Raw genomic sequence first — 12,869 nt, 5'->3', positions numbered from 1 at the left:
GTTATTATGATTTAGTAGGTGGGGTTGGTTGTCATTTTTAAAATTTCCAGACGTGAAATGGGAAAGGACTTTTTTATTATCTTAGGTTTTATTCCTTATTAGGTTTGAATCCTTATTATCTTAGGTATTATTATCCTAGGTTTGATTCATATGAAAGTAACAATTGGTTGGCCAGGTACAGTGGCTCACACCTGTAATCCCAGCGCTTTGGGAAGCTGAGGCAGGTGGATCACCTGAGGGCAGGAGTTCAAGACTGGCCTGGCCAACATGGTGAAACCCCATCTCTACAAAAATACAAAAATTAGCCGGGCATGATGGTGGGTTTCTGTAATCCCAGCTACTCAGGAGACTGAGGGGAGAGGATCACTTGAACCCGGGAGGTGGAGGTTGCAATGAGCTGAGATCCTGCCATTGCACTCCAGCCTGGGTGACAGAGCAAAACTCTGTCTCAAAAAAAGAAAGAAAGTAAGTAAGTAACAATTGGTCAATAAGTATTGAAACATTGTTTCTCATACAGTAAGTGTTCCAGAGTTATTTAGGTTGCAGTGAGTGGACATCGTGCCCCCCTGGGCGACAGAGCAAAACTCTATCTCAAAAAAAAAAAAAGAAAAAGTAACAGTTGGTCAATAAGTATTGAAACATTGTTTCTCATACAGTAAGTGTTCCAGAGTTATTTGCTACTTCTATAAAGCTGTGATTCAAGTATAATATATGCTTTTTGAGTTTGAGAAATTTAAAACAATAAAACCATTTTAAGAGAAACATCAAACCATCTCAGGTATATTTTAACTGGGTATAAGTGTGTCATCATGGTGACAAATTAATACCCATTTTATTTTCTCACACGCAGATTAATGTACCTAATTCTAGCTCATTTTCTTTTACAGTGACTATACGTGATCATCAGGTTAATATTTTATAAATGCTGAGAATTTATAATAGTTTTCTTATTGCCAGATGTATATCATTGACAGCTTTTTGCAATGTAGTCATGTAATCGTGTTGCAGGACTTGTTTTTAGAGGCTGGTGCATTTCTGATCTCCTGAGGTTCTATATGTGGGCTAATCCTTTTAGGGTTATTTTTCCTTCCTGGAGTACTTTCCTGTCTTTTGTTAGTCATTTTTATTTCAGAGCGGATTCTCATGAGTAGCCTTCACTGACTATCCTAAGCAAAACCTGATTTTCTTACTTTGTATTCCACTAGATTTACCTGGATTGTACCTTAATATTGTAGCTTTCATTTCAAAATGTAACCTGTTTTCTAGAGTAGATTTCATGTCATTAAGAGCTGAGGGGTATGTTCCTAGGTTCTGCCTCGTTTGACAAGTCTCAGTACACTGAAGAGAGAAAAGATATATTTATTATTTTTTATTTCAATATCTTTTGTGGTACAAGTGGTTTTTGGTCACATGGATGAATTGTATAGTGGTAAAGTCTGAGATTTTAGTGCACTCATCACCCAAGTGTACATTGTACCCAATATGTAGTTTTTTTTTAATCACTTACATGCTCTGCCACCCCCCTCCTCTGAGTCTCCATAGTCCGTTATGTCACTCTGTATGCTTTTGTGTACCTGCAGTTTAGCTCCCACTTATAAGTGAGAACATATGGTATTTGGTTTCCCATTTCTGAGTTACTTCACTTAGGATATTGGCCTCCAAATCCATCTAAGTTGCTGCAAGACATTATTTCATGTTTGTTTTTTAATGGCCGAGTAGTATTCCATGGGTATATATACTACACTTTTATCAGTGGGCACTTAGGTTGGTTCCCTATCTTTTTTTTTTTTTTTTTGAGACAGAGTTTCACTCTTGTTGCCCAGGCTGGAGTGCAATGGCACAATCTCGGCTTACTGCAGCCTCTGCTGCCCGGGTTCAAGCGATTCTCCTGCCTCAGCCTCCCGACTAGCTGGGATTACAAGCATGCGCCACCATGCCCAGCTAATTTTGTGTTTTTAGTAGAGATGGGGTTTCTCCATGTTGGCCAGGCTGGTCTTGAACTCCTGACCTCAGGTGACCCACCCACCTCTGCCTCCCAAAGTGCTGGGATTACAGGCATGAGCCACCGTGCCTGGCCAGTTCCATATCTTTGCAATGGTGAATTGTGCTGCAATAAACATACACATGCAGGTGTCTTTTTGATATAATGACTTCTTTTCCTTTGGGTAGATACCCAGTAGTAGAATTGCTGAATCAAATGGTAGACCTACTCTAGTTCTTTTTATGTCTATTCTAGTTCTTTAAGAAATCTCCAGGCTGGGCACAGTAACTTATGCCTGTAATCCCAACACTTTGGGAGGCTGAGGTGTGTGGATCACCTGAGATCAGGAGTTCAAGACAAGCCTGGCCAACATTGTGAAACCCTATGTCTCTACTAAAAATACAAAAATTAGCTTGGCATGGTGGCGTGCACTTGTAATCCCAGCTACTCAGGAGGCTGAGGCAGAAGAATCACTTGAACCCAGAAGACAGGTTGCAGTGAGCCGAGGTCACACCACTGCACTCCAGCCTGGGTGACAGAGCAAGACTCTGTCTCAAAAAAGAAAAGAAAGAAATCTTCCATACTGTTTGAAAAGATATGTTTCCCAATGTTTTCTTTGGTGTATTACCTGAAGTATTTACTTTAGATCATGTGTCTCACTTGAATAATATTGGATTTATGTGTGTGTGTATATGCAGTTGCTACTCTTTGGACTAATAATTTTCTGCTTGTTGGCTCAAAAATTTACCAACCACCTAATATATAGTCATGCATCACTTAACAGTAGAGATGCGTTCCAATAAGTGCATCATTAGTGGATTTCATCAAGTATACTGACACAAACCTAGATAGTACAGTCTCCTACGCACCTATGCTATATGGCATAACCTATTGATCCTAGGCTACAAACCTGTACTGCATTTTATTGTGCTGAATACTGTGGGCAACTGTAACACAGTGGTAAATATTTGGGTACCTAAACATAGAAAAGATCCAGTAAAAATACAGTATAAAAGATAAAAAATGGTACACCTGTTTAGAGCACTTAACATGGAGCTTGTCAGACTGGAAGCTGCTCTGGGTCAGTGGGTGAGTGAAAGTAAAGGCCTAGGACATTACTGAATGCTACTGTAGTATACTGTTTAAACACTATACCCCTTAGGCTACACTAAATTTATAACATACTTTTCTTCGATAATTAACCTTAGCTTACTGTATGTAACTTTTTAACTTTATGAACTTTTAAATTTTTTTAACTTTTTTTAGTAACATTTAGCTTAACGTACAGCTACTTGGAAGGCTAAGGTGGGAGGATTGCTTAATCTCAGGAATTCGATACCAGCCTGGACAAATAGGGAGACTTTGTCTCTTAAAAAATAAGTAACACTTAGCTTAAAACACAAGCACATTGTACAGCTTCACAAAAATATTTTCTTTATATCCCTACTCTATAAGCTTTGTCTTATTAAAAAAATTTTTTTTTTTAAACTTTTAAACTTCTTTGTTAAAAACTAAGACACAGATACATTAGCCTAGGCCTACACAAGGTCAGAATCATCAGTATCCCTGTCCTCCTCTACATCTTGTCCCACTGGAAGATCTTCAAGGGCATTAACATGCATGGATCTGTCATCTCTTATGATAAGAAGCCTTCTTCTAGAGTAGCTCTTGCCTTCAAGACCTGCCTTGAGGCTATTTTATAGTTAACTTTAAAAAAAAGTAGGAGTATACTAACATAACAAAAAGTATAGTATATGTATAGTAAACACATAAACCAGTAACACAGTTGTTTATTGTCATTCTCAAGTATATGTACTATACATTATTGTATTTGCTATACTTTTTTTTTTGAGACGGAGTCTTACTCTGTTGCCCAGGATGGAGTGCAGCGGTGCCATCTCGGCTCACTGCAAGCGCCGCCTCCCAGGTTCACACCATTCTCCTGCCTCAGCCTCCTGAGTAGCTGGGACTACAGGCGCCCACCACCACACCTGGCTAATTTTTTTTGTATTTTTAGTAGAGACGGGGTTTCACCGTGTTAGCCAGGATGGTCTTGATCTCCTGACCTCATGATCCACCCGCCTCAGCCTCCCAAAGTGCTGGAATTACAAGCGTGAGCCGCCGCACTCAGCCTGTTTTTTGTTTTTGTTTTTGTTTCTTTTGGGATGCAGTCTCCCTCTGTTTCCCAGGCTGGAGTGCAGTGGCGCAATCTTGGCTCACTACAACCTCTGCCTCCCAGGTTCGCGTGATTCTCCTGACTCAGCCTTCTGAGTAGCTGGGATTACAGGCGCTCGCCACCACACCTGGCTAATTGTTTTGTATTTTTAGTGGACATGGGGTTTCACCGTGTTGGTCAGGCTGGTTTCAAACTCCTGATCTCAAATGATCTACTGCCTTGGCCTCCCAAAGTGCTGGGATTACAGGCATGAGCCACTGCACCCGGCCCCAATATATGCTATACTTTTATACATCTAACAGCATAGTAGGTTTGTTTATACCGGCAGCACCACAGATACATGAGTAGTGCATTACAATGGCTGTGACATCACTAGGCAATAGGAATTTTTCAGCTCCATGATAATCTTATGGGACCACCATTGTATATTCAGTCTGTTATTGACTAAAACATTGTTATGTGGTGTATAACTGTACATTTTCATAATGGGATTTTAGTGTTTCTATCAGTAATAGTTCTTTTGCGAGATTGACGGTTGTTTGTTTCCTACACTAGTCTACAGTATGGTCCTTCAGGATAAAGACTACACTGTTGGTTATTGTATAGTAGAATCATATCAACTAAAATAAATTCAATTATACTTGCTTGGCAAAAAGAAAAAGATGTAATTATCCTGATGATTCTGTTTGTCTTTAACTTTAATGACCTTTTGTCTTGGAGCCAGTGGTGCATGAGACAATGATACTTGAGTTTGTTTCCTTTGTTTCTTTTTTTTTAGATGGAGTCACACTCTGTCTCCCAGGCTGGAGTGCAGTGGTGTGATCTCGGCTCACTGCAACCTCCGCCTCCTGAGTTCAGGTGATTCTTCTGCCTTAGCCTCCTGAGTAGCTGGGACTACAGGTGCCTGCCACCATCCTGGCTAATTTTTCTATTTTTGTAGAGACAGGGTTTCACCACGTTGGCCAGGCTGGTCTCGAACTCCTGACCTGAGGTAATCCACCCGCCTCAGCCTCCCAAAGTGCTGGGATTACAGGCGTGAGCCACTGCACCCAGCCAATTGAGTTTATTTTAAACCTTTATTAGATAAATGAAGATTCATGATTATTGTGCCTTTTTTACAGATTGAACCTTTTATCAGTAAAACTATCTGGACATCATGTGATGCTTTTGAATGGTATTTTGTCTATATTACCTTAATTTTTATTTTTTAGTATTCACCTTCCACAACTTTTTACATTCCTTTTTTAAAAAAAAATTGTTTGGCCTTAGTATGTCATTTGGTTTTACATCATGCCTTATAGGCAGCAGGTAGTTAGTTTTGGTTTTAAACAATTTGAAAGTCTTTCAATGCAGGGCTCTAAACTACTCACATTTATTTTTACTATTTACATGTTTAGCAATTACTGCCATATTTACTCTGCTTTTTTGTTTCTTATTTTTCCTTCCTTTCTGCTTTTTGTTGTATTGGTCATTTCCCTATTTGGGGGTTTATTTTTAGTGGTAAGGAAGCTGTACATTTCTATTTCTGTTCTTGTGTTCAACCTCAAATGCTAGTTTAGCTAGGTATAAGACTTTAGTTACAAAATAATCTTGCTTTAGAACTTTGAAATTGTTACTTAATTGGTTTTTAGTACCAAATGTTGGTGACAGTCTGGCACTGGATTGTTTTTCTTTTTAAATACTTTCAGGATTTTTGTTGTGAAATTTCACCATGATGTGTCTAAAAATGCATGTCATTTTTCTTCAACTCCGAGAATTTCTCCAATTCCTTAGATTTTTTTTTTCTATGCCTTTCCTTTTAGAACTCCACATAGGCAAATGATGGAACTTCTGGATTTATACTTCATGTCATTTAATTTCTCCAAACTTCCCACCTCCCTGTCCTCTGTTTCCATGGCATTCTGTCAGGTTTCCCCCATTCTCTACTTGTTAATTTGCTCCTCAGCTCGCTTCTTTAATATACAGCCAATCTGCTGAATTAATTGTAATAATCTTTTTTCATTTTTAAGATTTCTAATTAGTGCTCTTTAAAAGCAACCTCTTTTAATGATGGGAAGATAGCCTCTCATTTTTTTGAAACTAAATTTTTTGTTTGCTTGGTATATCCTGCTTTCTCAGATACTACTTTTATATTTGAGTTGGGGGCCTCTTTTTTTATGGGTTGTTTTTCCCTTTTGTTAGCAATTCTCGATTGTGTGGTCTCTTAAAAAACAGAGGCAAGGTATGGTATGCCCTGTCACTGTCATTTGTCTCTTTTAAGAGAGTCTGGTCTCAATGTCTCAATATGTTGTCCAGGCTAATCTCAAACTCCTGGGCTCAAGCAGTTCTGCCTCAGCATCCCAAGTATCTGAAACGATAGGTGTGTGCCATGGTACCTGGCCACTTGTCTCTCATATAGAAGATCCTCACTCCTGAATGACACAGCCCTACTCTAATGTGATTTCTGCTTCCTCCAGTGGAGTGGGAGGATTGTTGAGGTTGTCTCAAATGCAAGTTTTCTAGCAATCACCCTGACGATTGCCCCCCAGAGCCCACAACTACATAAGGGATTCCTAGTTTTGCTTTATTGTGGGTGTTTTGTGGGTGTTTCTCTGTCAGTCCTGTAGCAGTCTCTGTTAGTCCTGGCACATATTCATAGTCCTGAAACATATGTATCCTTGAAATTAAATTTATGTCTCAAAGCTTTTGGAACATAATTAAGTCTACTGACAAATGGAAGATTTTAAGTTCATCTATTAATTTATATGTGCTTGTCTTGGTTCCTTTCATCCTCCCACATCAGTTTTAAAATATACATTCTGGTTGACACTAGCTAGCTTAAAGTAGCTATATAATATTCTGATCTTAGATACTTAGAGCTTCCTAGAAATCCTTTGCGCACTTTAAATCCTTTAAAAACTTTAAAGTACTGCAGCCTTTTTGAAAAAGTCTGAGTGTTTTTGAAATTAAAAACATATAAGACTCCAGCCTGGGCAACATGGCAAAACCCCATCTCTACTAAAAATTAAAAAATTAGCCAGATGTGGTAGTGCACGCTGGTAGCCCTAGCTACTCGGGAGGCTGAGGCAGGAGAATCACTTGAACCTAGGAGGTGGAGGTTGCAGCAAGCCAAGATTGTGCCACTGCACTCCAGCCTGGGCGACAGACCCTGTCTCAAGAAAAAAAAAAAAAGTATATACGTGTGTGTGTGTGTGTGTGTGTGTGTGTGTGTGTGTCTGTGTCTGTGTCTGTGTCTTTTAGCTGGACGTGGTGGTGTGCACCTGTAATCCCATCTGCCTAGAACATGGAGGTAGGGGGATTGCTTGAGCTTGAGAGTAGCCTGGGCAGCATAGCAAGACACCTCTCATGCTTTTTTGGGGGGGCAGGCGGAGACAGAGTCCCAATCTCTCACCAAGGCTGGAGTACAGTGCTATGATCTCGGCTCACTGTAGCCTCCACCTCCTAGATTCAAGCAATTCTCATGCCTCAGCCACCCGGGTAGTCGGGACTGCAGGCGTGTGCCACCATACCCAGCTATTTTTTGTATTTTTAATAGAGACGGGGTTCCGACACGTTGCCCAGGCTGGTCTCAAACTCCTGGCCTCAAGTGATCCACCCGCCTCAGCCTCCCAAAGTGTTGAGATTATAGGCATGAGCTGCCATGCCTGGCCAAGATATGCTTTTTGACTCAACAATCCTACTAGTTAGAATCTATTCCATGAAGATATTTGTATGAAGCAACTTACATTGTAAACAGCCATTCTGTCTTCCTGTTTTTATCAATTTATTGTTTAATTACTGTGGTCTGAGTCTGTGAATGTTGATTAGTGTTTGATAATTGTTTCCTCTCATTTCAGAACTCTCTTGATAGAGCCCAAGCAGCCAAGAATAAAGGCAATAAATATTTTAAAGCAGGAAAATATGAACAAGCTATTCAGTGCTATACTGAGGCTATTAGCTTGTGCCCTACAGAGAAGAATGTTGACCTTTCTACATTTTATCAAAACAGAGCTGCTGCCTTTGAACAGTTGGTATGTACTCTAGGTTGTTTCTTCTGTTCCTTTTCTTTCTCTTTATTTGCTTAAAGTTTCAGTTAAAGCTACTCAAATAAACCTAATACATTTTTTGAAGTTGTTTCAAAATTATGGGATGTTGTTCTTATTTCCATTAATTGCAAAACTTTTTAAAGAACAAATTCTATAGTTTTGCTGACTACAGATATACTCCAAAGTTAAGTATATTTCACATTTTATAAAATTAGATAGTATAGAAAGTTTCTGGTGACCCTATTCTCCTCAACAGTTTGAGGCTATTTCTTTAACTTTTTGATATTTATATGAGCTTTTGTAATATATTGCAGATATTAACTCTTTGTATTAGGAATACTTTTTTATTCTAGGACTTTTAATACTCAACCTATCAAGTTTAAACTGATTTCTATTGAACAGTACTTTCTTTAGTGTGACTTTTTTTAAATACTTTCAATTACAGCAAAAATGGAAAGAAGTGGCACAAGACTGTACAAAAGCTGTTGAACTTAATCCCAAATATGTGAAAGCTCTCTTTAGACGTGCAAAAGCCCATGAGAAGCTAGACAATAAGAAGGAATGTTTAGAAGGTGAGGGTAATTTTGTGTTTACATATGAAAATTACTTAATATTTTGTAGTCATTGGTAAATGTATATGAAACTGCCTTGTGAGTGCAAGAATCAGTTGTTTTTAAAAGTTGGATTCCTTTGCACTTAAGATTGTGTCTTCTAGTTTAAAGTAAGATTGCTGATACTTAAGTATTGTCTCTGTTCTCAACTATGGAATTAAATGACTATTAAGATTAGGAGTTTATGTACTACACATTTTAAACTTAGCAGCTAATGAGCATTAGTATAATTCTCTGAATAAGGAAATCAGAAAAGAAGTTTTAGCAAGTGATAGTGTTTCTAAGGTTCTACATATTTCATTTAATATGTATAAATATAGCTTTGAGAGCTGTGTTTATAATATGTATAAACATAGCTTTGAGATGAATCATTAAAGAAAACATTGTTTTGTGCCCTTGGTATTTTCAAACATTATTTTATACCCAATTGGAAATTATTGTTTTATACCTAATTTACACCTAATTGGAAATGATGTAATTGGTACAAAGCATCAAAGTGAATTTGTCATTCTCATTAAATGCCATAAATATTCTGTGGTCTCTGATTGGCCATTTCTCTGCTTCCAAAGCTGCAATTAACAGTATACATCCAGCCTTTAAAGTACATTCTTCTAGGTGACATGAAGCAAAACCAAAGTATAATTTTCTACAATCTAAAAGTTCTTTCCACTTAATATATTTGTCTGCTTTAAAAGCATCAGTAAAAGGAAAAGGCCCCTTTCTGAAAAGAAAAGTGTAGATTACCAAATGAGGGTATTTTAGAGAACATTTTAGCAAAATTTGAGGTTTTGTGGTGGCACATACTTTGGTAGTGTGTGAAAAGACTGTTGTTTTAGAAAAGGGAATCCTGAGTTTTGAACCAGACCTTGAAGTTACTAACACAATAACTGGCAGAGAGGAGGTTGATCGAAGTGTCACGTAGAAGAAACAGGATGGGAAAAAAGACATTGACATTGGCGCTAGCCGTGGTTATCAGGGGAATATATCAGCAGATTGACTTGATTGGTGGAGCAAGGATGTGGAATTGCAAGAAATTTAATTCGGGAAGAGACGAGACGTCCATTGTTTGAGTGCTTTGAACGAAAGGCTGAGAGGTTAAGGAACCACTTACTTTTTAATTTCAAACCACTGCATGCATCTTGAGCTGTGACATAACCAGATGAAAATGGTATTGAGGCAGATTTATTTGAGAGCTCTGTGGCAAGATGGCTTTGGAGACAGGGAATAACTCTGAGGCCTATAAACAAACACCAGACATGAGAGAGCCACACTATGTTTATATGCCTTAGAGTTGCTAGCCAGAAGAGAATGTTAGAGTGGTGAGAAACATCAGAAATCATGCAGCATAGCCCCTTTCATTTCACAGTTAAGGAAAGCAAACCCCAGAGAAGTGGAGTGACTTTCTGAGCTTTCAGTTTGGTCATAGAGAATATAAAATTAGGTATTAAGAATCAGTTAATTGGAAATGAAACAGTCCCATTTGGCCATGAATTTAGTTTGGCTTTCTGTAGTTACATTGTACCCATTTGATGCTGCTGACCATCTTTGCAATAATTTTATATTTACCCTTGTGTTTTTCATCATTTCTAGATGTCACTGCTGTGTGTATATTAGAAGGGTTCCAAAATCAACAAAGCATGCTGTTAGCCGATAAAGTTCTTAAACTCCTTGGAAAAGAGAAAGCCAAAGAAAAATATAAGGTAAATTGATCTGATTTGGGGAATGGGGGAGTACTGTGTACATTGTGAAGGGTATTTTCTAATTTATGCTGCTTAAGCTTAGGCATAGTGGTAATGGCAACAACTGCAATTAGAACTGGGTTATATTTCTTCTTCCTGTTATCTTTGGCTTTTATGGCTTGTCCTTCTTCAGTAAGAATATATGCTCTGTCCATTACTCTACCTGGAGAATATTGGAATTCATCTGTGTTAGGGATTGCCACACTGTGGCCCATAGGCCAAATCCAGTCTGCTACCTGTTTTTATAAATAATGTTCAGTCACATGTTGTTTTCAGCTGCCTTTGAGATACAACAGCGGAGTTGAGTGGTTGTGACAAACTGTATAGACTCCAAAGCCTAAAATATTTACTATCTGGCCTTTCACAGAAAAATATTTTTCTATATTATTAAAGTTTTTAAAGGTATACTGAGTAAGTTGGCATTAGTTTTAGGCTATTATTAACAGGTAGTTTAATTCAACAATCATTTATTAAACAAAGCTACATGTTTGGCATTTTGGAGGGATGGGTTCAAAGACATGGCCCTTACCCTTATAGAATTAAAATTTAGTGAGAGAGACTGACTGTTACTGTGTATAAAAGGCATGCAGTAGTTAAGTGCCCAAGGTGAGATGTAAGTAAAGAGAGTACCATAGGCATCACTAAACATCACTGGAGATTCACTGTTAAATCCCAGTAATAGCGAGATAATTGTTCCTTTTTCCTTTAATAATAACTTGCTTTTTTCTTGAATTGATTTTAGTAATCTGTATTTTTAATTTTATATCTCTGGATATTAGCTGAGTGAAACAGTTACAACAAGTTTCTTCACTGCTGGACTTTAATAATCTACTAAGGTGTGTTGTGAATCTCTAAGAGGGGTATAGCTGTAGTGGCTGTAGTGGTTCCCAGTCTCTCTCTCTGTTTTTTTTTTTTTTGTTTGTTTTTTTCTTTCTTTGTCACCCAGGCTGGACTGCAGTTGCTATCTTGGCTCACTGCAACCTCTGCCTCCCAGGTTCAAGCAATTCTCGTTCCTCAGTCTCCCAAGTAGCTGGGACTACAGGCATGCACCACTATGCCTGGCTAATTTTTTTGTACTTTAGTAGAGGCAGGGTTTCACCATGTTACCCAGGCTGGTCTCGAACTCCTGAGCTCAAGCCGTCCAACTTCCTCAGCCTCCCAAAGTGCTAGAATTACAGGCATGAGCCACTGTGCCTGGCCCCATTCTCTTTAAACCATGGATTTTTTTTTCTCTCGAGCATCTCGTAAGACTAGTGTTTCTCAAAATCACTTTGTAAAACACCATGGTAGAGTCCATAAATTGAACCTCAAAGGAACCTAGTTTCCTTGTACATAGTGTGGAGTAATTAGACTGGTTGGATTGCAAGATGGTAAGAAAATATAAAATAATGTATATTTACATAGGTTACAGATCAGTTTCCACATTTTCTAATCTGTTTGTCACTTTGTAAATCACAAAATACCTTCCATATTATTATTTTGATTTTTTTATAACAACTGTATAAGATAAATAAGGCAAATATTTCTATTGCCATTTTAGAGATGAGAACACTGATACTAGACGTTTAATGACATGCATAATATCACATAGCTAATAAGTGGCAGAACTAGAATTTGTATCCTGTTCCTTTGATACTTAAATCCCTTTCTTGTAACCGTTTATTTTCACTTTAAATTTATAACCCTGTATGGAAGGCAGGGAGGTGATAGCTTCATTTCTAAGCTGAAACAGGAAACTAAAAAACATTAATGATTTATCTAGCTTCAGGTAAGTGGTATTTAAATTTCTATTTAAGCTTTTCCCCTAAAATGGTAAATGATTGCCACTATGTATTTATTCTCAGTGTCTTTAGTAAAGTACTAAAGTTAGGCATATTTATCACTTGATAGGTGACCATTTGACTTAAAATATTTGTTATCCTAAATTAAAACGAATTGAATCTCTCCCCAGAGAGTGCCCACAGATCAATATGGGTTTTCTCTTAGGTTTCCTTTTTAGTTCTCTTTCTATCCCACTTTTATCTATCCTAGATTAAATAATTTACTTATAAAGCCAATTCCTTTTTTTATTCCTTCAAATATGAAGACATTACCAAAATAACAGTAATGATATTTGTTATACATAAAATGAAAAATCGCATGTTTCCATTAAACTCTTTGGGCTGAATTTTATAGATAAAGCATTCAAAATACATTATGAGAGCCTTTTGGGTGTGTTATTTCCACTTTATTTAAAACTTATTTATTTAAAACGGTAATTGTGTTTCGGGAGGAACAAAATACTCCCATAATTGTGAATTGGGTGGCTATGCCTCAAATAAATAATCAAAACAGGAA

The 12,869-nt window shown here is 37.7% G+C and overlaps 1 protein-coding gene across 1 annotated transcript in view; it reads left to right on the top strand.

Moving 5' to 3' along the window:
- TOMM70 (translocase of outer mitochondrial membrane 70) overlaps window positions 1-12,869 on the top strand; it is a 37,659-nt gene that overhangs the window by 6,118 nt on the left and 18,672 nt on the right. Inside the window, exons 2-4 of the mRNA NM_014820.5 lie at window positions 7,994-8,167; window positions 8,628-8,754; window positions 10,384-10,493. Of these exons, the coding sequence (NP_055635.3) occupies window positions 7,994-8,167; window positions 8,628-8,754; window positions 10,384-10,493 (411 nt within the window). The remainder of the gene's footprint in view (window positions 1-7,993; window positions 8,168-8,627; window positions 8,755-10,383; window positions 10,494-12,869) is intronic.

Source organism: Homo sapiens, chromosome 3 (assembly GCF_000001405.40).
Source record: "Homo sapiens chromosome 3, GRCh38.p14 Primary Assembly".
Lineage (NCBI taxonomy): Eukaryota > Metazoa > Chordata > Mammalia > Primates > Hominidae > Homo > Homo sapiens.
Note: the sequence above shows the minus strand (reverse complement) of the source record. Positions and strands in the feature narration are given on the sequence as shown.